This window comes from Homo sapiens, chromosome 13 (assembly GCF_000001405.40).
Source record: "Homo sapiens chromosome 13, GRCh38.p14 Primary Assembly".
NCBI classification, from domain to species: domain Eukaryota; kingdom Metazoa; phylum Chordata; class Mammalia; order Primates; family Hominidae; genus Homo; species Homo sapiens.
In genome coordinates, this window is record NC_000013.11 from 92,415,448 (window position 1) to 92,440,319 (window position 24,872).

Sequence of the window (24,872 nt, forward strand, 5' to 3'; positions counted from 1 at the left end):
GAGAAGTGAAGGAGTTTAGGAATTATCCTACCTTCTATGACTGGATCCATGAATTCACTCTTGACTGAGAATCAACACTGGCTGAGGACTAGGGTTTTGCAGGTAATATTATGAGTAGCATCCTGCAATAGTGAGCTTGAAGTGTCTGTGGGATATCTAGGCCAAGACGTTGAGTGAGTCTTCAATTAGATATGAGTCTGATGCTGAGAGGAAGGTTCCAGCTGGAGGTAAAAAAAAAAAAAAGAAGTAATAGCAGCGGAATGATAATATAAGTCATTGTAGTGAGCTACGCAGAACAGACTGGATGAGGAGAACCTATCTAGGTGCATGGCCTGAGGGGCTTTGATCATATCAAGAAAGATGAACCAATTTTGAATGCTGATGAGGGTTCATGCAAATGAACACAGAAAAAATACCTCTTAGGTTTAGTGACATGAGGGTTTTTGGAGAATTTGCCAGACACATTTTTGTGGAAGGATGCAGATTGAAGACATATTTAAGCATAAATTACAGATGAAGACATGAAGAAAACAAATATAGACAGCTTTTTAAAGAAATGTAGCTGTGTGAGGAAAAGGAGTTTTGATAAGCAGTGACACTGAAGGAGGTAATTTTAGCTTTGGAACATTTTAAGATGGAAGATACTGGAAAAAGTATATTTGAATACTGCTAAGAGGCTTTCAGTAGAGAAGTGGTTGGAGCTTCAATAAAATGGCATTGTATCCTAGTCTTCTCCAAAAATTTAGATTGACATTTGTTTTTACTGCCAACTTATTTATGATGACTCTTTCTCATCACAGAGTGTGTGGATTTAGATGATATATGGTCACCCGACAATGTTTGAAGAAAGAAGGGATAGTTTAAGGTGTAAGAAGGGATCTGGAAAATAGATTGGAAGAGGCATGTTAGCATGTTAGAATGAGGTCAGAACTCTACCTACTTGTGCAGATTTGATAGTGAGAATTGATGCTTCAATTTGCTGTATGAAATAGGATCAACAAGAGCTAAGACAAAGCAATGGAGATAGAATAGTCTTTTCAACAAATGGTGCTGGGACAACTGAATATCCATACACAAAAGGATTAAGTTGAATCCCTACATCACACCATATACGAAAAATTAATCCAGAGTGTATCATAAACATAAAGTAGTATCTAAACCTATTAAACTTTTAGAAAAAATGTAGGAATAAATCTTTGTAATTTAGGATTAGGCATAGCCTTATTAGATATGACATCAAAAGCACAAGTTCCAAAATGAAAAATAGATAAATTAGACTTAATTAAAATTCAAAAAGTTTGTGCTTCAAAGGATACCATCAAGAGTGAAAAAACAACTCACAATGTGGGAGAAAATATTTCTAAAACCTGTATCTGATAAGAAACTCATATGTAGGACATACAAAGAAATTATACAAATCAATAATAGAAAATAACCCATTTAAAATACAAATGTATTTACATACAGATGTAAATACAGATGTAAACTTGGGTTACTATAAGTCAAAAAGGCACTTTAACTTATATTTTCAACTTACGATGGTTTATTGGGACATAACCCATTTAAGTAAGCACACTCCACTGTATTTAACCCTATTTAAGTAAGTACACTTCGTGTAAGTCACGCCGTTGTAAGTCAAGGAGTGCACTGAATGCATATCACTTTTGCACCATAGTAAAATAAAAAAAATCATAAGTCAAACTGTAATTAAGTTGGGGACCATCTGCACAGGCAAAAGACCTGAATTTTTTCCAAAAAATTTTTTCCAAAAAATCATACTCAGATGACCAATAAACACATGAAATATGTTCAACATCCTTAGCTGTCAGTAAAATGCAAATGAACACTCCGATGAGATACCACTTCACATAGATTAAGGTGGGTATATTCAAAAAGATAATAAAGTGTGGGAGAGGATGTAGGGAAATTAGAACTTCCATACACTGCTGGTGGAAATATAAAATGGTGTAGCTTTTCTGGAAAACAGTCTTGTAGTTCCTCAAAACATCAAAGTTATATCACCAGCAATTCCACTCCTAGGTATATATGCCTCAAAAATTAAACCATATGTTCATACAAAAACTTGTGCACAAATGTTCATAGTAAGATTATTCATAATTGCTAAATGAGTAGAAAAATTCTAGGACTGGTGTGGTGGCTCATGGTTGTAGTCCCAGCACTTTGGGAGGAACAGGCAGGTGGATCTCTTGAGCCGAGGATTTCGAGGCCAACCTGGACAACATGGAGAAACCCCATCTCTACCTGCTCCCAAGCCCCACAGAAAATAAAAAAAATTAGCCTGATGTGGTGGCATGTGCCTGTGGTCCCAGCTATTCGGGGGGCTGATGCGGGAGGATTGCATAAGCCTGGGAGGTCGAGGGTGCGGTGAGCTGAAATTGCACCACTGCATTCTAGCTTGGGCGACAGAGTGAGACCCTGTCTCAGAAAAAGAAAAAACCCAAATGTCTATCAGGCAATGAATGTCTAAACAAAATGTAATATAATCATACAATAGAATCTTATTCTACTATAAAAACAGGTAAAGTAGATACTTGCTAAACATGGATGAATCTTGAAAACATTATGCTAAGTTAAAAAGACAGAAAAGGTCAAATATATGATTCTATTTATATACATTTTTAGAATTGGTGAATTTATAGAGAAAGAAAATAGATTGGTGATTTCCAAAAGCCAGGAATGGATGGCTGGGATGTGGGAAAGATAATGAGTGACTGCTAATGGGCATGGGATTTCTTTTTGGGGTGAAAAAAATATGCCAAAATTGATGGTGGTGGTGCTTGCACAACTTTTTGAGTCCACTGGAAATCACTGAATACTTCAATTGTGAGAATTATATGGTATATGAATAATATTTTAACAAAGCTCTTATATTTTTTAAAAAGAGAACAGATTATTTGCTGATAGCACAGAGTTGGGAGATCACGTTATTGAGGTTTAATAAGATTTGGAAAAGGTAGTTTAGGGAAAAAGAGAGTGAGTTGATTTTAAAGAATCTCCATGGAGAACGGAGGGCTTGTTAATGGAGAGATGCAATATAGTGAAAGGACAAAGATAGAGATCCTGAGATCATTAACTTGATCAAATTCCTAATTGTATAAAATACTATTAGGTAAAATTACAATATATGTAAGGTTATAATATATGCTCATAAATTTTTGTCTTAAAATATTATCTTTAGCTTGATGGCATAGTGTTAAAGTTTAGATAAGACTAACCCAGTGAATTTAGTCTGAGTCTCTCAGTAATTGTTTTGTGTGCAAGAAAATTAGACAGATCAAAATTAAGCTTTTAATTACTTTGCTTTCATGTTCAGCTTTTGTGTGATGAACAGGAAGAAAGGGGAGTTACCAGAAATATTTTGAGAAACAGGTAGAAAAATAGGTGTGGGAAAGCACTTTATCCACAGTACTTTTGCCCGAAGAAAGTATAAGATGATTGCTAGGAAAATATCAACCCACCTTACCACCTCTTCACCACAGCCTGTCTGCAACCCTGGAGAGTAAACATTGCTTGTCTAATGTAAATAGGAGGTAATCAACTTCTTCTCACGTGGCTTATAAGATGTGCAAGGGACGAGAAGACTGTGCAAACCAAATAAAATGAACTGTCAATTTCACTCAGGGAAGCATTTAAGACTAGTTATGCATATAAGCTGCAGAAACTCATTTACTCATAAAAATCAATAAGACTGCCACCTGGGTCATCAAAGGGACCATCACCACTGTGGGAAGACAAATCTTAGCTCTCATGACAATGAGACAGAAGCTGCATTCTTCATTAGACCGCAGCAGCTACAGCCCAGCAGTATTATTTTTTTTTTCCAGCTGAGAAACTTTTCAGCATTGCTTATTCTGGTCATAGCAAGTGATTTTTTTCTTCCTTTCATAACGCATCACTCTCTCTTAAATGGTGCTTTCTTGCTGGAATACTTTGTAGAGTGGGAAAAGGTAAATGACCAGAATAAGAATTTCAGATTAATCGTGATCCTGTGGTCACACTGTAGGTGAAATGACTAGTGTTAAATATTATTACATGTCATTTCTGAGCTACAGTTTCCTCAGTGAAGAGTGAATTGAATACTGTCAAACTCACGTTTGTCTTGACATTTCATATTATATACATAAACTCTCTGACCAGAACTCAAAAAATGAGTCATTTGATTCTTAAAATATTTGACAATTATTGAAAATGGTTTCTAGACTAGCATACTGAAATTTCTCCCTAGCCCACCAGCATGGTTTAACATTTATAAACCCTTCTTTACACCAATAACTCAAAGGGAAAGATTAATGTATTGAGTTTATTTAAGAAAAACTGAGGGATCCCACTCATTTTCTTTCTTCTTCATCTCTTATTCCTATATTTTTGGGTGGTCAGAGCATTCTTTCCTTCAGGAAAGTCATGGCTCCTTTAAAAGCATTTCGCACCTGAGGTCTTTGTCTGAATGGGATGGATGAATAGCCTGAAGCCCTACCTTTGACCTGCTGTCAAAACTCCAGCCATTGTATAGTTATTCTTTTTGACCTCTCCACCTAGTTCTTTTCAATCAGGGCAGGATCTGTCTCCAATTTGTTTCCAAGCCTCAAATCTACATCCCTTATTAACATATTTCCTCCAATCCAGTCAGAGGCTTAGGGGTCAAATGTCTATTGGCTAAACTATTTTAAGTTTTTCTAGATATATATGGTATAAATAACACTTTATAAATCAATGTATTATTTTCTGCTGAAAATTTCATTGTTTAGCACAAAATTATTTTTGATTCATTCATTTCAAGCCAAAATATACTCAGTATCCAGCCTAAACATAGGTAAGATTATTTTAAGTATTCTTCTAAGAGAATTTCTTACAGAATATTATTTGGAAATTTTCTTTTTTTAATTTTTAATTTTAATTTTTGTGGATACATAGTAGGTGTATATATTTACATGGTACATGCTTTGTACCATGTTTTGATACAGGCATTCAATGCATAATAATCACATCTTGCAAAATGAGGTATCCATCCCCTCAAGCATTTATCCTTTTATTATACTCTTTTAGCTATTTTAAAATATACAATTAAATTATTATTGACTATAGTCACCCTGTTGTGCTATCAAATACTAGATCTTATTCTTTCAAACTGTATTTTTTGTATCCATTAAACATCCCTGCCTCCCTCTCACCCCCTTACTACCCTTCCCAGCCTCTGGTAACCATCCTTCTATTTTCCATCTCCATGAATTCAATTATTTTGATTTTTAGATCCCACAAATAAGTGAGAACATGAGATGTTTGTCTTTCTGTGCCTGGCTTGTTTCACTTAGCTAATGACCTCCAGGTCTATCCATGTTGTTGGAAATGACAGGATTTCATTCCTTTTATGGCTGAATAGCACTCCATTGTATATATGCACCACATTTTCTTTTTCTATTCATCTGTTGATGGACACCTAAGTTGTTTCCAAATTTTGGCTACTGTGAATAGTGCTGCAAAACTAGTTTTTTATTTCCTGATTGCTAAAGAATGCTAACTAGCCACAAATGGAATGATACCAGTTTAGTGAAAAGTCCCAAACCACTAAGGTATAAACGAGACATGGCTTGATAGTTTTCCCCAATCATTCCTTTCATTTGTACAATCAAATTTCTTTTTAACCCTGTGAAGTACATGCTTTAATGACATCTTTGCCAAGTTCCATAACTTGCCTCTTCTAGTTTAGAGCGCAATCCCTTTTCTAAATGTAAGAGACAGTACTTTGGTATTAGAGAATTCACAACACACAATTCAAAATGTACCTCTTGCTCCTCCCAAGCTGTGGTGCTGACTGGAGTGGAGAAAAGGGAACATGGACTGTGACTCTATGTCACAAATCAGACGGGAGAAAGGGAGACACTGTGTTAATCTATTCTCACATTGTTATAAAGAAATGCCTGAGACTGGGTAATTTATAAAGAAAAGAGGTTTGGCCGGGCGCGGTGGCTCACGCCTGTAATCCCAGCACTTTGGGAGGCCGAGGCGGGTGGATCACGAGGTCAGGAGATCGAAACCATCCTGGCTAACACGGTGAAACCCTGTCTCTACTAGAAATACAAAAAATTAGTCGGGCGTGGTGGCGGGCACCTGTAGTCCCAGCTACTCGGGAGGCTGAGGTAGGAGAATGGCGTGAACCCTGGAGGAGGAGCTTGCAGTGAGCTGAGATCGCGCCACTGCACTCCAGCCTGTGCCACAGAGCAAGACTCCGTCTCAAAAAAAAAAAAAAAAAAAAAAGTTTAATTGGCTCACGGTTCTGCAGGAAGCATGGCTGGGGAAGCCTCAGGGAGCTTTTACTCATAGTGGAAGGCAAAGCCAGAGACGGTGTCTTCATATAGCCAGAGCAGGAGGAAGGTGAGCAGGGTAGGTGGTACACACTTTTAAACAGCCAGATCTAGTAAGAACTCTATCACGATAACAGCACTGTCTCTCTTTGGTCCAGCTTGGAATACATACCTCAGCATTCTCTCAGTATTTGACTTCCTGGAGGTCAACACTTCCCACCACTCTACTAACCCGGAACTCCTGGCATCATCACTGGAACTGTAAAACTAAGTGAGGAGATGTTTTTGTCTCTCCAAGGCTGTGGAGAATATGGGACACAGACTAGAGATGGCTTAATATTATTCCCAAACAAATCTTGCCACCATTTTTTTTCAAGCCCTGCTTCCATTCCAAATACACCATTCCAAATACTCCTGCCTTCAGAAGTTTCTGAAACTGAAGAGAACTTTAGCTTGTTTAAAAGACCCCTGTAAACCTCAGGAGATGCATGTAAAATGTCTCCCTCTTTGCTCCTTAATGGCAGACATACTCTAAATAAGTACAATACACTTTAGGCAGATGTTTTCCGAATAGTCTTCCAAGATCTTTCTGTACCAGGGTGAACCTGAGGGTTCTGTGGCTCAGCAGGCTTCCAGCCCAAAACAAGAGGTCAATTTCCTACAGTGACCTGCACCCTCAAATTTTATGAGATCTTTCTGTAAGCACCACCCATCACCATCTCACACACACACACACACACACACACACACACACACACACACACAACTTCTTGGAAAGAAAAGTATTCCCCCATTGTAGTCATGACGAGAGGTGAGATTAGCCTGTCATGCTGTCTTAGTTCTCCCCACTGTTCAACTGTCTTCTTCCCATATTAGGCAAAGGTGGATTCCACACAAGGCTGGTTCTCACTAGTCTTTCAGTGAACCCTCCAGAAAAGTGACAACCTCAGTGGCTGGAGGCACTAATTCTAGAGGAAAAAAAAAGTTGCCATTTTTCTTTATAATTTCTAAGACCAAAAGATATATTTTATACAAGCTATTTGATTACTTTAAAAAAATTTGCCACATGGCAACAATATGAGTCACACCATCAAAGCTAGTTAGCTGGGCTGGGTCACCTACTTCTATTTTGAGAATTCTGTATTTTGCATTAATTAGCCTTATCGTTCCTTCAGGCTGTTTTAACAAAATGTTGCAGACTAGACAGCTTATAAACAACAGCAATTTATTTCTCGCAGTTCTGAAGGTGGAGAAGCCCAAGATCAAGGTGCCAGTACATTGAGTGTAGAGTGAGGTCCCGCTTCCTGGTTCATAGATGACTATCTTCTGTGTAGTAGAAAGAGGACTAAGGGCTCTCTAAGGTTTCCTCTATAAGTACACTAATCTATTTATAAGGGGTGTGCTTCATGATCTAATCATCTCCCAAAGGCCCTACCTCCAAATGCCATCACGCTGAAGATTAGGTTTCAACACATGAATTTGTTGGGGGCATAAACATTCAGTCCATTGCAACACTTACGAAAACATATAATTCAGAATAAGAAAATATTTTTAAAATTTCTTGAGTAGTAGGTATGCACAGCAAACAGTTTTTGAGTGTTTTAACTGTTTCTCCTAATTTATTTAATTTCTTATTTTTCCATCAGATAACATTATTTGCTTATTTTGCTAATAGTGAAATGGGAAAAATAACCATTCCACAACTGTGTAGTGTATTAATTTGTTAATCTCATTAAGCAATTGGAAGAATGAAATCACTAACTGTTATTGTTGTTTGGAGAGTGAAGATGTCTCCACCAAAGCATAGAAAAGGATCTGTAGATGTACAGTAAATTCAACCTGATGCTGCTATTAGTTTAAATGCCTTAGCTAAATGGTACCAGCTGAGATCATTAACTTTGCTTTCATAGCAATTTTCTTAATGTTACTTAGCAACTTCACTTTGAAAATACCCATTTCACATCCCTGTAGCCTAAGGAGCATCATTAGTAGTGAAATTACATGTTTGATTGCATAGCCAGAGAAGAGTTAATGTTATGACCTGAGGATCTATCACTGGCTGCTAGAAGATTGCTCAGACAGCATGCTTTTAATGCATACTACGCAGACTCAGTATCAGAGCCGCGTTAAACAGATAAAAATTTATCCACCATTAATTCAGAATATTAAAGGGAGCATTTCCATGTGTAGTATGTTGTAAAATATCAAATTAATATTTCTGCATTATTGTGTAATGAGTAAAAAAAATCAAGTTTTGTGTAAGATGAAGAGTATTTGAAACCTGAGAAATTAAAATGTACCAAATGCCCTTTCCCCTTGAGAAATGTATGAATGTTTCCTAATATAACCTAGAAATGATCATGCCTTTAACAAATTAAAATTTCTTCCATGATATGAAAATTCCTCTAGGGTTATTGCTTCTCCAGAAATGAATGCAATATAAGAACTACAGAAACTCAAAAGTAATCAAAACATTACAATAAAACCAATTATTTATTCTTCTTTCCAATTTTCTGTATTTTAAAATTGTTTTAATTAACATGGGTAGTATTTTAAGAGATAAGTGATTTTATTACCTTTGAGCAAAGATATTTAATTTAATCCAATTAATATTTATTAAATAGCTATGTACAAATAAGCATTCAATATGACAGACAATATTTATTTTTTAACTCATTAAAAAAGAATTTTAAGTATTCTCCTCTTTATTCTAGAAACAAAATGCCTTTATCTTTTTGGGTACACAGACATTTTTTGTTCAATTTGTCTTTTCAAAGACAAGGTTCATCATATTATTAAGAGAAGAAAGCACACAGATATACTTCATTATTATTAAAAAGTTACATCTGTTCTTCCATAGCTTTATGACTTGATCTCTGTATTTTTTTTTTTAATTCGTGGGTCTCTCTTCCACTAGTCTCACCTTTTTTGATTACTTTTATTTAGAAATGGATATTCCTCAAGACTTGCTTCCTCTTTCTTTGCTTACATACTTTGATTGCTTCACTGTCATTTCTATAGTTGACACAAATCAATATTCATCTATTCATTCATTCATTCATTCATTCATTCATTCATTGAACATGTACTGAGTCCTACTATATTCCAGACACGTGAACTAGGTGGTGGGGATTCAAAGATGAATAAGATATAGCTCCTGCTTCAAAGGGCAAGTAGATGTTGAGTATTTCTGTCTTGATAGGCTGACATCTTCTCATGCTTAACACACCTAAAATGAAGCCTTTTGTTACACCAAAGTGCATCTCCAACCAGCATTTTCTATTTTTGTTTGTTGTTATTTCATGTTTCTAGTTTCTCACATTTAATTTACTGACTCTGCCCTTCCCGTGATGCCCATCAATCAATCTCCATTGATGCCTTTTTTCAATTCTCTGTTCCTTTGTATCAGGACAACTCAGTCTGTAAAAGACCTTTATTTATAAAAGACATATTTTAAAATTTGTATTTTGGTAAATTGTGATAGGAAAAATATGTAAGTTAAATACAAATGTAAATATGTAAGTTAAATATAAATAGTTTCTAGATGTAGTAAAAGTTTACCATCTCCCACCTCTACCCTCTCCCACCTCTACCCTCTCTAAAAATTATGGCTAATGTTTCTAACATTTATTGATTGGTTTCTACATGCCAAGTACTAAGGACTTTTTATTCCTTATCTGAAAAAAAATTACCACGACAGTCCTATGGCAAAGATTCTATTTTTATCACCCCTTTAGAGCTAAGGAAACAAGTGACTTAATAAAATCAAACAACTAAGGAGTGGCTGTCCAGTTTTAAATGCAGAGTCAGATTCCAGAGCCTATGTCCTTCCTTCACTCTTCTCCTGTTCAACCTTTGTAAGAGCAGATTATCTTTGGGCTTCCTTCTTTTGGTTATACCCATAATCCTAAGCAATATGCCTTTATTATTTTTTAATCAACTTTAGACAGTGCCTCTTGGCTCCTCACTAGGAAAGATAATTGTTCATTTCATTTCCCTGACACCCATGTTCACTGCTTCTCCCTTCAAAATATATGTATATATTTTAGCTATTTTGTAGTTTATATGTTATCTTCATTTTAAGTTGTTTTACTCAAACACTAGCATGTTAGGCAAACTATTCTATGCCTTGCTTTTTTCATCTAAAAATATTTCTAATATCATATTTACACATTTATAGTTGGTGTTGTTAATAGCTCTCTAACATTAGATCAACATACATTTAATCATTCCCCTGTTGATAGGTATTTAGGCTTATTCTACTTTTCTGTTAAAACAATACAACACCGAACACTGAAGGCCTCTGAGATTCCAGATTTAGAAATGCTTTACTTTGACATACCAAGGTTCACAATGGAAGCTTCAGTTTTCCCCAGAATTTGTTCATTTTATTTAGAGAATACCCCTCTTCTCCTTCCCTAAGACCCATGATTATATATCTGGCCATCAGTCCTATGTGTATAGGTGGGACAGAGCACTGAAAGTCACTCTATATTATACCCATGGTGAATACCCCTGTTGAGTCTTGATTCTCATTCTTACCCTTTCTACAGCCAACTCTGAGCCTGCTCTTTGCAGATCCTACAAAAAAGATTGGCCACCTCTTCTATGACAGTGACCTCCTCTGCTGTACTGCTTTTCTCAGAAATTTCAATCAGCTTTCCATATTTTAAAAAATATTTCTCAAATAGTCCTGATCTTTCTTTCAGTCTCTTTATAAGTTCCATATACCCTTAGATGGGAGACTAGCTAAAATGTCAAGGATAAGACTTATGATGCAAAATTATATTTATTTTAAAACAAAATGCATAATCAAAGTGTTCATTGGAAGAAAAAGAGCAATGAGAATCTTTCCCTGTTTTTAGAGTTCTTCTGGCTTATTTTATGTATTTGCTTATGTGTTTAGCTTCACTCAGTATAGCTCTTATGCTTTGATTACATATAATTTTATATACAAATCAAAAATAAAATGAAAATTAAAAATTAAGAAACTATGGATGGAGGACAGAGGGCAAAAAGTGGTAAAAATTAGAACATGGATCCATAGAGAGCACAGGTTATAAACATGTAAAAGTGCAATAGATTTATCTACTTAACTGTAGAGAATTAAACTATAGGAGACCTGTGAAAACAAGAAGAAAAAGAGAGAACTAGTTAAATCATTCAGGAAATTGAGCCATCAGTTTCTATAATGAGCTTGTGATGAGAGACGAATCTGTTCTTCTGACCATTACATAGGCTCACTCATTTCCTGGCTGCCTATTTTAGTTAAGAACATCTTGCTGTAAATAGTGTGAAAGTGAAGTCTGAATATTTATTGAAAAAAAACATTTCACCTAGTGCTTACCCAAGGAATAGCAATCATTTTCAAGATTGGAGAAGACACTGGTTGTGTTTGATTTATCAGAATATAGCAGGTCGATTTCTAAGTTGGAAGCTAAGAAGGAGATTTTCAGGGATGAATCTGACTCTGTGTTATTGTGGTTTTATGCTGTTTTTAAAACCTAACTCCTCTACAAGTTTGGTCTCCATTGTTTTGCAGTTGACTGGTAAATAACATACGAGATAACTGGCTCTCCCAGAAAATGATAACTGATACGATTCTTATTTTCCAATAGAAGAAATGCACAAATTCCTCAGGAGGAGCAAAATATTTATTGGAACTTAGCTCGGATATAAAATCTTAAATGGCTCTGCAGTGAGGGAATGGTGAGAGAGAGAGTGAACAAGATGATTGACAGCAGTTTGAATAAAAACATGCCACGTTACTCTATTGCTTCTGATAGTAATTGTAGAAAAATGTCTAATAACGGGATTAAACTTCTTGTATTTTTAGGGCTGGTAAAGGCTCAGGAAGTATTCATTAAAGAAACTGTTGCTGGGTGACATTAAGAATATTTATTTTTCCGATGATTCCATTGAGTCAAGTGATCTTGTGAGATACACTTTGAAGTTGATTAACCTGGATGTGCAAGCCTAGCCCAATAACGTTTGAAGTATTTGTAAAATAAATCCAAAGATCTCAATTAGTGATAGGAATTCACTTTGATCTAGCTCCTTAGTTGCTAACAAATGCTTCTTATGGCAAATTAAGTAAGGAAGAAGTGTTTGCCAAAAAGTAACTAAAATATATTTGTATTGTTTTAGCAAAACATAGATGGAAAAATTTAAGTGATCTTTCAAGACAAAATAATAATGTGGAATAATTGAGTAGTTTTCAGACAGCCTGTATCATTTTTTGTTTTCCACTTGCATGTTTTATTGATTTTTGTCAGCAAAATGTTTTATTGAGTATTAATCAACAAAAAAGAGAAAGAGTCCTATTACTACCGTGGTCAACAGATATAAATACATAGAAATGATTCCAAATATCTTCTCTTTATTTCTTCATTCCTGGCCCCCAACCTATGGCGGACACATGGTCTCTATCAGAATGGATGTGGCTCTGCTGATGTCATCGTAAGACTCTCCTGTCTTGGATGATATCCTGGTTGAGTTGAGCCACATCTTCATTTGGTTGTTTCGCTTTGACAAAGAAAATCATTCAAATTGAATTATCTCTGAAAGCATCATGTGAACAAAGAGGTAGTACCCTGTGTTATAGTCACTTCCTCCCAGGACCTTGGCCTTTTTATAGTATCCACCCATAAATCCTCATCATCCAGACGCCAGCTTGCCTCCGATTGGTCCATATTTTTCAGTACTGTTACACTAACAGTTCTCTTACTGGTTTATTTTCTGCAAGTATCTAGTCAGACGAGTGGGTGTCTGATCATTGTTGGCTCAAATATATCTTGCTCAGAGAAACTGAGTTTGAATAAAAAGAAACATCAAAGCACTCCAATGATCAGTTGGTAACAGCAGCTTAGAGTTCTCTCTAGTTTACATTATATTTTGTGCCAAGTGTGCCCAAAGGTTTGTGATTTTCCACAGGAAAATTCATGCACAAGGCCTGACACCTATTTTATTCATTCTGACCTCCAGGGTAGAATTTAAGAATGCTTCTGTAGAGCCAACCATTACTAATCAATCGTACTGATTCATGTTTTGAATGTAAAATCATGCTATTAAACAAAAATATATATAGCTGGAGAAGTCTGGCAAATCTCTGGCTTCAAGAAATCATGAAGAAACAATTTCCCTCCACATGTAAAAGCTTACTATATAATAAATCTGTGACGAAAGAATAAATCAGGATTGCAAATAAATGATTTAGGGAGTATTGGCTAGCTTTGGGGGGACAAAATACTTTAGATATTAATTTCATGCATTACAACAAATAAATCTTACATAAATTAAAAGTTAAGATTTGAAAAAATTAAAGTCAAAGGAGAATTTAAGTATATTGTTTTCACCATAAAAGATAACACTTCCTATGTACAGTATTAATGGGATAAAATTAAAATTAAAAGATGGACAGAATAATTCATATGCAAATATCTATCATGAAAAACCATTCAAAATTAAAGTAATTGTGACATTTTATTCATGTTATAAAGAGAATCATTAAGTTCCTCCCCAAGTAACCAAAACTGTATGCAAGATAGTCGCCACATTTCATATTCCAGGAAGCACATTCACACCTTCCTATGACTACTCAGGCGCAGAAAAATGGAAATAATAATAATAATACACAAAATATTAACTATACTTAATATACTAATTTAAAAAACTAATTTTTAAATAATTTAATAATATTTCTCTACATAATACATTCAATTTTTATAAAATCCAAATTTTATAATCACAAAAGATTTTTTATTTATTTAAATATTTACTTGTCCCCAATGGGAAATGAAACCTGCCAAATCATTGCTTCTAGAAGCAAAAATGGTCAGCACCATTTTCACATATCATTTGCTGTTTGTTTTCTATCAACCTCTCTGGAAATTTTACTTTTCAGAAGTTATATAAAAATCTAGAATTTGGATGTATATTTATTTGCAAAGATGTGTATTATACATTCTAAATGTTGAACACTAGATGGATAGGTAAGAAAGTTAAGGTCTATTTATGCAATGAAATATTTTGTAATCATTAAGAATTACTGGGAGCGTAATACTAATTTTTTTACAAAGAGAGATGTTGGTCAAGGAATATAAACTTTGAGACAGGATGAACAAATTCAAGAGATCTATTGTACAACATGGTGACTATTTAATAACAGGTATTATGTACTTGAAAATTGTGAAGAGAGTAGATTTTAAGTATTGCCATCACAAGAAATAAGTAGTGAGGTAACGCATATGTTATCTAGGATGATTTAGCCATTTCACAATGTATAACTATTTCAGAACAGCATGTTGTACATAATAAATAGATACAACTTTTAGTCAATTAAAAAATTTAGAAAAAAAAATTTAAAGAAAAAAAAAGTGCTTATATAGCTCCCTGAGAGGAGGATACTTTCCATCTTGCTCATTTACCTATCCTGTTTAGAATGCTTGGCATATAACACATGTTTAGAAAAATGGGGGGAAAAACACTAAGAAATGTATATGTGCTAAAGTTAATAGTTTTTACCTGAGGCCATAGGATTACTATTGATATTTATCAGCTATTTATTTGTATGTAACTATTCAAATTTTCAAAACAAAATAATGTATTCCTTGCAGTATTGGAGAAAACATTATTTTTAAACGTTCTGCAGGCAGTAACGAAACTCTTCAGAGTCAATCTCAATGAAGTTATTTGAGAATTAAATGCAATCTCACCTGCATCTGAATCATTTCATGTGTTTACTTGAAACAGACATATCTGAGCCAGGGTGGGAGTGGGCCAGCATTTACATTTTTATCACATTTTGGTGCCTCTTCGCTAGACTGTCCAGATGATTCATGCCCACGTTACAGGTAGAGAATCACTGGGTAAGGAAGATAATCAAAATTCAGAAAAATTCAAGAGCAGAAATGTGGCTTTTAAAATAAGTTTCTTAAAAGCCTGCTGAACGTGGCTAGTAAATTGGTGTAGCAAACTTTCTGAAAGAGAATACAAGTGGGTGAGGGACAATGGGAACCCAAGTCATAAGAGTAAAAAGGAGTTGCCAGCAGTAAACCTCATTAAGCTTGCAAAGAAAAATCACCATAGATAAACAAATGTAAAGCTTTACATTTGTTTTTTCAATGATATAAATGCAAAAATTAGCTCTACTAGTAAATAGTGACTTCTAACATGGCAAGTAAAGCATCAGACACAATACAATAAATATTTCTAGATTAGTAGTCTTTGATGCTGATGAGCACTATGCAATAGTTGTCTGGTAAACACAGAATTTAGATATCTTTTTATTCTCTTTCCCAAACCAATTACTCTACTGATATTTTGAGATTCTGCATTTTAGATTATCGTAACATATGTAAACCACAGAGTGTCAATCAGTCAACAAACACTTATTAACCACTTCCTATGTGCAGACATATTTCTAGGTATTAGATATGTAATGATGAGCAAGAAACAACATTCTTGCTCTCAAGAAAGTTTCATTCAAATAGTTGAACACAAATGGTAAGCACATAAATATATACAATAAAAGATAATTTAAGGTAATGATTACTACAATTAAGAAAGTAACACCTAAATAACACAGGACAACATGACTATATGTGAGACATTAAAGACACAGCTTTTTTTTTTTTTTTTAAGCTAAAGTGATCAGAAAAGTCTCTGTGAAGAGGTAAGATTTAGGCTAAATAGTTGAGGCAACTAGAAAGGTTCTATAGGAAAAGCACTTCAGGAAGATTAAATAACAAATGTAGAGGCTCTGAAATATGAAAAACATTGATATAATTAATATTTAGAAGCAAAGTCAGTGTAAAGAAGATGGAGATGGGATGAAATAGATTGTCTGAGCAAAGACTACAGAGGCCATGGTGAGGAGGAGAGCTTGTGGGAAAGCCATCGGAGAGGTTTAGCAGAGGAATAACATGCTAACATGATAACATGATCTTGATTAGAGTAATCAAACAGATCACTCTGACCATGAGTTGAAAATGGACTATTGTTCAAATAGAAGGGAGAAGGAAGACTGTTTAAAAGGCTGTTTATGTGTCCTAGATAAAATAATTTATGTGACTTGAATGGCTGATGAGGCGAGAGTTGGTGAAAAGTAAATTTGTAAATAGTGTCAGTGATGAATTTGTAAGTAGTGCTGGCAGATTGTAGGAAGTTGTCAAAAATGAAGGCATCAAGGATACATACTTGGTGCAATGGACTGAATTGTGTCTTCCTCACAATGTATATGTTAAAGCCCCAATGTGATTGTATTTGGAGATGAGGCCTTTGGGAAGTAATTTGGTTCAGATAAGGTTATGAGGCTGAGGCTCTCAAGATGGAATTGGGGCACTTATAAGAAGAGAAACCAGAGAGCTTGGCTTACTCTCCCATGTGAGGACACAGCAAGAAGGTGGCCATCTGCAGGGCAGGAAGAGAGCATCACCAGAAACTGACCATTCTGGCTCCCTGATATCGTACTTCTGCCTTTCAGAACTGTGAGAAAATAAAGCTCTTTTGTTGAAACAACTCAGTCAATGGTATTTTTTTATGGCAGCCTAAGCTGACTAATAAACTAGTTTTTTTATTGTTGGTGGTGGGTTTTTTTTTTTTTTTTTTTTTTCTTGAGATGGATTCTTGCTCTGTCACCCAGGCTGGAATGCAGGCTCACTGCAAGCTCCGCCTCCTGGGTTCATGCCTTTCTCCTGCCTCAACCTCCCATTTTCAACTCATGGTCAAGTGATCTGCGTGATCATCACAGGCACCCACCACCACGCCCGGCTATTTTTTTTTTTTTTTAAATAGAGACGTGATTTCGCTGTGTTAGCCAGGATGGTCTTGATCTCCTGACCTCGTGATCTGCCCGCCTCCGCCTCCCAAAATGCTGGGATTAAAGGTGTGAGCCATGACGCCTGGCCATAAACTAGTTTTTTTTTAGCTTCAGCAACCTAGTGTTTACTTTTTTTAAGTTAGAGAAGTCTTGGAAAGCAGTAGGTTTAGTATGAGGAAACATCAAGAGTTTGGTTGAATATAAGATTCCAATTAACCTCTAAGTAGCATGATTAAATGAGTTGGGTTTCTTTTCCTTTTCCTTTCCTTTTGTATGTGTAGGACTTAGAAGGATCCTCTGGAAAAAGATAAATATTTGACAGTCATTAGTATGAAGGAGATGTTTATAACCTGCAACTAGGTGAGCTTATTAGAGAAACTGTGAATAGAATAGAGAAGAATGCAAAGGACTATTATTTTGCAAAATTTACTTTGATGAATAAAAAGAAATTAAGCAGTTGTTGAAGGAGAATGAGTAGACAAAGGATAATGTTTTAAGATAGTTAATACTAAGCATGTTTATTTGCTGATGGAAATGAACCACAGAATGGGAGGAATGTATGATACAGGAGAAGAAAAATAGAATATTTGCCAAAGTGAAGACACCGAGATGGTGAGAAAGAATGAGATTTGAAGCACAGATGAAGATCAGGTTACATTCTTCACTGTAGCCTGAGAAGAAGGCAGAATATCTAGATACAGAGATAGCTATGGGGATGAGTTTGGTAGACAAAAGAGGAGGTTGTTTTATATGATTATGAATTAGGAAGTAAAGTTATCACCTATGAGTGGAACGGTGGGGTAGCATCAATAGGTTGAAGGTTCTAATGAGATGTGAAATGTGGGAATATTATAGTGCATCAGATGGAAAAATAGGAATTACTGATCTGAGAGTGGAATGCTTGAGATTATAATGGCAGAGCTAGTGTTGTAATTGGAGATAAGAGTTCATGATTCACGTAGTATGGAGGAGCAGACAGTTGATGCCGAGGATGTCAAGCAGCTCAGATATCAAGGTGATAGATGAATTACTTATATGAATGTTATGCCTGCAATAATAATACAGGCACAGTAGTAGAGAAATCAACTAAACTGATGCAATCAGTACATGAATTATAAACAATTGACTAAGAGGTGAGTAGGTTATATTAAAAAGGAGAAAAAGCCTGTTGCCGTGTGTTGAGAAAGTGGCAGAGTTTGGAAAAAGTAAGAGAAAGAAATGGTTTGGGTACAGAAAACGGTGACACCTACCTCTAGGTCCTAAAGAAGATAAGATGTTCCTCCAAAAACAAGCTTTACATGATTAGGATTCTCAAGATCAGTCAAGCATACATTTGAAGAGAAAGGTGAAGGGATGAAACATGTAACTTGGAAAACTGGAGAAAAATGAAAAGGGATATGTCGTACTTCTGTCTGATAACATTGAGAAAATTTTTGGAAATTATGATTTAAGAAATGAGTACAGTTAGCACCACTATGCTGTAGTCCCAGGCCAAACCAAATTCAAAGGCAAGGAACATAGACCTTGCCCTCATTGGGAGAAATGTTGACATCATTGCTGTACTAGTAAATGTTCTACTTTTAATGCATAATAACTGTAGCAGGGTTATTCACAGTGGCCAACACCTTTCTAATGTGCAAGCCTAAAGTTAGTACTGGTAGATAAAAACAATTTAGAGAACCATAACAACCACTAAGAAATGACTATTTTTCTTGAGTCATTCAAGAAAAAAATGTCTTGAATCAAGAAGAGGTAAAGCAGAGGAAGTAATAATGAAATAATTTTTAAAGTCCCATTGCAATAGAATGTTTTTTTCTTCAGGAAAAGGTTTTTATCAGTCAGTTATAGTCCTATATACTACAAGAGAAAAAACATACCTACCTTGATAAAGAGAAAAATACATCCATAATGGAAAAAATATTGGAAAAATGGCTTGTATTCAAGATGACCTTTTCTTTAATGATTCTACAAGTTTATTACATCTCGTGATATCAGGAAATAATGGTGCTTTAAATAATCTCATTGTGGTTTAAATCTGATACTATACAGGTTAAAGAAATATCTTGAAGGTAATATCCCTTTGCAGTGTGATAAAAATTTAAAGTTAAGAGAAATATCTGTGTCAAGCCCCTTATTAAGAAATGATAAAACTATCTCCCAGAGGTATTAAAATACCCTCCTAAAGGTCACATTTGGTTAATCAAAGACAGGAGCAGAGCTGGGTTTCCACAGAGGAACCTATCGTATTATCTTTCAAGGAGACCATCTATTCACTATATAACAGATACAATGCGTTTTGCTATCAATATAACCATTAAACTAATTTGTCCAACTAATATTTTTTTTGAGACATAGTCTAGCTCTGTCACCCAGGCTGGAGGGCAGTAGTGCCATCTCAGCTCACTGAAACCTCTGCCTCCCTGGTTCAAGCGATTCTTCTGTCTCATCCTCCTGAGTTGCTTGGACTACAGGTGCATGCCACCACACCCAGCTAATTTTTGTATTTTTAGTAGAGACGGGGTTTCACCATGTTGACCAAGTTGGTCCTGAACTCCTGACCTCAGGTAATCTGCCCACCTTGGCGTCCCAAAGTACTGGGATTACAGGCATGAGCCACTGCACCCAGCAGTCCAAATGAAATTTGAGAAAATTAAATGACATATAGTATCCCCTTATTTTTATTTTGACTTACTTGAATTGCAAATATAGAAAATGAATCAAGACCAAAAGGGGTTGAATGTTTTAAATATAAAAATAAATGTATTTTGACAATCTGGGAGAAGAGGGATTCAAATGACATAATTTCTATGGAACGGTTTTCAAAAGGTCTGAAAGGCCTAAAAGTATTGAATATATCAAAAAGAAACAGAAACTTTTGTTAGAGATAAAAGATCATTCTATTTTGGGCAAGAAGAACAAAATACACTCATTGGAGAATTTAAAAAGGTACTGACATCCTGTGGGAAATATGATGTGAGCAAAGGCTTTACAAAGACAAAGTTTGAAATGTCTGAAAAGAGAACTGAGTCATGGGCCAACAACTATGGGGAGGGATATATGTACAAAGTAAAGGTTAACACTGGGCATTGATTACAAAGGAATGAAAAAGAACAAAGACTGAAATACCATTATTCTGGTCAACCAACCATATTTATGATTATATGTGTGAACGTTTGTGCTCATGGACACAGGCAATTCAGAGATGGTCCATATTTGATTTAAAATAATGAACATGAAATTTAAAAATAGTCTGAATTTGGTAGAATGCATTCAGGGAATTTTAAGACACTTAATTCAACTCAAAACAACTTCGAATTCACATATATCTAAAATACAGCACTTCATTTGCCAAAAGTACATGTAGGAACTATTAATGACTCTCTTTAAGATTTATATTTTTAATCAGTCTTTTGTCTTATAAAGTTAGTAGCAGCCTATTGAGTAAATTAACATCTTACTGACTATTCTGTTATTTTGATATTAAAATTATTCATTCAGACCATAAGTTACCATCTAGTCAAATAAGACTCTAATGACAATATCATCCATTAATGTTGATGGAAAAATGGCACAGATTTTAGTTTTGTGTGTAAAGACTTATTTTGTTTGTGTTATGAATTGAACTGTTTCTTCTAAGTGTGGCTAAAACTCCTGGCTATTGTGGAAAGTCTCTTAGATTTTACACAATCTGGTATATGAATGTATGTTTTATGTGTGTAAACAAATATGAATACTGTTTCAGCTGTAACAGGACTTTGTCATTCATATTATACTTCTGGGAAGAAAAGTGCCTTTCTCTCATTCTTTCTGATTCAGTTGCAGTCTTGTATCCTTCGCTGGCATCCATGAAACTGTGGTAAGTTTACTCATTTGCTTACAATATGCAAAATCTCAGCTCTTCACAGTTCTTGGCACTATTTTCCCAATTCCATCTCTTGCTTTCTATTTCCCAGGCTACATGACACATTACATCACTCATCCTTCCACAATCTGAATTGTAATTCTATACCTTAATTTATAGTTTGCTCTCCTGTAAGCCTCCAATAAAAATAGTTCTATCCACATTCTTTTTGAAATGTTGTATTCAAACCACTCATCACACAAAATTTTTGAACGTTTAGTATTTAATTCATATTATTAGGTTAATACAGTGTCTGCTGCTTTTATTTTGCACTAAAATCAGTCATGTATGAGATTATTCAATAGGTGATGATCATTGTGACTAATTTATCCTTTTATTCCTAGTGCCCAGCACTGTGCCTGACACACTTAAATGTTTCTGTAAAAACATAAATGAATCAACACAATGAATATTTCAAGGATTTACCTACATTTTCATTTAAAAGATTTTATAACTTTAATTATTTAAAGGGAAAACATGACAAAATATAAAAAAGGATATCTTCTTATCAAAGGAAATGTTTTGTAAATAGAATGAGACTGAAACAGAAATAAATGCCAGCAATCAAACTGCAATCCCAGAACAGCAGGTGGTTTGAATACTTGCTTTGAAAAGCAGACATCCAACATTGCTCTGACATAGATTTAAGAGTTGCCTCTGGGAAAGATGGCAAGTCAAAACAAGAAAACTAAGACAGTCACCCAGGGATGTATGTGGGAGACAAAAACATCAATAGAATCGGCCCTTTTAAGACCAATGACAAGCACTGAGTGACAGATCTATCATTGTCTTACTAATAATACTGCAGGTATCGGAGTCTTTATTTAGTTTTTTGATTTATGCATTATGTATTCTCTTACAATAGACTTGTTAAATGTAGTTTAAATTGAGAAGCTCCTGGCCTAGAGATACTGCTTCAATTACCCAGGCAACATCAACTGAATCAATTTTAGAAATGAATCCATTATTAACCTGTAAATAATATACACATTATACCTTAAGAAGAAAAAAATATGTAGTTGTACATCAAAAAATAGAAAAGTTTACAGCTTTTTAAAATTCTTATAGTTGCGTTAAATTCAATCATTTCACACAGTTGAACTCCAACTTGTTTTAGGAAGTATGCTATATTATTTTTCTATTACTTCCATAATAATTACCACAAACTTAGTGTCATACAACATCACCCATTTATTATCTCATAGTTCTTAGGTTGTGTGTTTAACTGGACTCAATTGGGTCCTCTGTATAAATCTCACAAGACTGAAATCAGTCAAGTTATCCAACAAGCTGAACTCTGATTGGTTGGTTATGAGAAGGAATTCCAACTTCCTTCAGGTTATTAGCAGAAATGGGATGAATCCTTCTCCTGCTGTAAATCTCTCTGGATCTCTCCTCTACAATAAGCTAGAGAAAACTGTTTTTAAAGTGTTCACGAATTACAGTGGGCCCACATGGATAATCTCCCTTTTGATTAACATGAAGTGAACTGATTATTGATTTTAATTGCATATATACCATATAATTTAACAATCACAGACATGATATTGCAACATGCTCATATCTTCAACCCACCCTCCAGGATTGGAGATTATACAGGGTGGTGGTCATTGGGAGTCATCCTTAGAATTATGCCTACCGATGTGTTTAGTGCTGGGAATAAAATTATGAGCAAAGTAGACTCAGTCTACTTTTCATACAATAAAATACGAGCTGTATAAGGAATTATCATGTACCTATGAACACATAAATGGAGAACCAACCCAATCTACAATGTTGGGTAAGTGTTCCCAAAGAAAATCACACGTAAGCTGTGTCCTGGAGGTAGCATCAGCATTTATCCAGTAAATGACCTTTTTAAGGTGATAGAGTAGAAGAACGTTTAAAGCAAAATAAATATATATATATATATATATATATATTACGAGACATGCCTTGAAAGATGGTCAGCTTAAGCATGGGTGACATAGTTCTCAACATTTGCAGCAGGGAGAGTAGTCAAGAGATGGCTTGCATTGAGGGAGAGAAGAGCAATGGGAAAACCTTTAAAGCTTTTAATCAAGATGCTACATGATTAAGTGTATGTTTTAAAAATGTAATCCTGGCTTTAACATTCAAAAAGAGCTTTCAGAGGTATAGAACTTGAGCGAGTGAGACCATTTACAAGGCCATTAGACATAATCCAAATTGTCAATAACTGTTACTGGGACAATGGTCGTGGCATAAAGGATGTCTGTAAGTTGACATATTGAGGGAATTTTGGAGGCGGATTCTAAAACAATTGGTAGTTAAATAGGTATAGGTGTGAAGGAGGAAAGGAGGTCAAGAATGATGCCTAGGTTTGTAGCTTGAGCCACTGGAAGGATGATGGGCTATTTTCTGAAATTAAGAACTTGGAAGAGAAAGTAAGCATGCTGGAAAAAATGAGTGGCTCCATTTCAAACATGAAAAATTTGAAGTTCCTATACACAGCCAAGTATAGATGTTTATTATACAGTTGGATATACTGGTCTGGAGCTCAGATAAAAGACCAGGACTAGAGAAATCCATGTGACAAACCTCAGTCTGTAATGTTAATTGGAGTTACAAGAGCTAAAGCTGTACCCTGGGAAGGGTGTGGAGTCTAAGAAGAGAAGACAATCTAAGATATAATTATCTGGTCCACTGAGGATTGGCTCAAGGAAAAGAAGTGCATAAAGGATACTGAGAAGAAATAACTCCCATATCTAGAGGAAGAACCAGGCAATTGCAGTTATGCAAGAAAAGAAATAGCAATTTCAGAATGGAGAGAGTAGTCAACATTTTCAAATGCTATAGAAAAGTCCTATAAAAGAGGATTATTAAGTGGAATGGATTTAGTGATAAGGGACTCAGTGACTTTGACAGAGCATTTTCAGTGGTCCAGTGTAAATGCAATTTAAACTAAAATAGGCTTAGGAATAAATCTGAATACTTTCTTTTTCTATAATATTTTTTCATAATTAATATTCTCTGGGTGTCAATTTCCAGTTAACACTAAGAGTTGGAGGAACATTCCAAAAAGAATTTGACAATAGAAGGGAATTTGTTTTTCATAAAGTGTGGGTACCAGAGAGCAGAGTGGAAGGGTATTGGATGAAAGTAGTCCTGTATCACTGGATGAAGAAAATAAATGTATGTTTTTAAAAATAGGAACATAAAAGAACATAAAAATCTGTGTTCAAGTCTGGAAAACCAAAGACAATGGGGGTCTATATAATGTATTTAATTTAGTTGACCTCAAAATTACCAGCTATGGCCAGAAGAAAATAAGAAAGAAGACAGAACACAGAGCCCATTGTAATAGTCAGCTAGAAGTTAGGTAGTCAGACCTCTCAGGATTCAGTTAGGTACTTGAGGGAGTTCACACTTCTGGTAGAAGGAGAAGTGATTTTCCCTCTAGAAGGGAATGGAACTGGCTGCAGTCTGGCTTAAATGAAACGACTCTAAAAAGAGATTGATTCCTTGAAGGTATTGGCATACAAGCCTCCAGGAATTAATTGGATAGGGAGCTCTGTATAGCAAGGAACTATTGTTAATCCATTGGAGCCACTGGTGAAGACAAAAGGGAATGATGGGACAAGACAATGTTTTCTTTTCAGCTTTTATTTTATATTCAGGGGGTTCATATGCAGGTGCATTACATAAGTATATTGCGTGATGCTGAGGTTTGGAATATGAATTAACCCATTCCCCATGTACTGAGAATAGTACCCAATAGGTAGTTTTTCAACACTTTACCCCTCCCTCTCTCTCCATTGTAGTAGTCTCCAGTGTCTATGCTTCCCATCTTTATGTCTATAAGGGCCCAATG

General features: G+C 35.2%; 1 protein-coding gene across 2 annotated transcripts in view, besides 1 other annotated feature; it reads left to right on the forward strand.

Moving 5' to 3' along the window:
- GPC5 (glypican 5) overlaps positions 1-24,872 on the forward strand; it is a 1,468,617-nt gene that overhangs the window by 1,016,827 nt on the left and 426,918 nt on the right. The gene's annotated exons all lie outside the window — the stretch shown is intronic.
- Positions 21,356-21,950: an enhancer, noted in NCBI's record as "OCT4-NANOG hESC enhancer chr13:93089056-93089650 (GRCh37/hg19 assembly coordinates)". NCBI's record gives its function as "activates a minimal SCP1, AML or CMV promoter by ChIP-STARR-seq in naive H9 embryonic stem cells {active_cell/tissue: H9 hESC(naive)}" and the evidence as "EXISTENCE:reporter gene assay evidence [ECO:0000049][PMID:30033119]".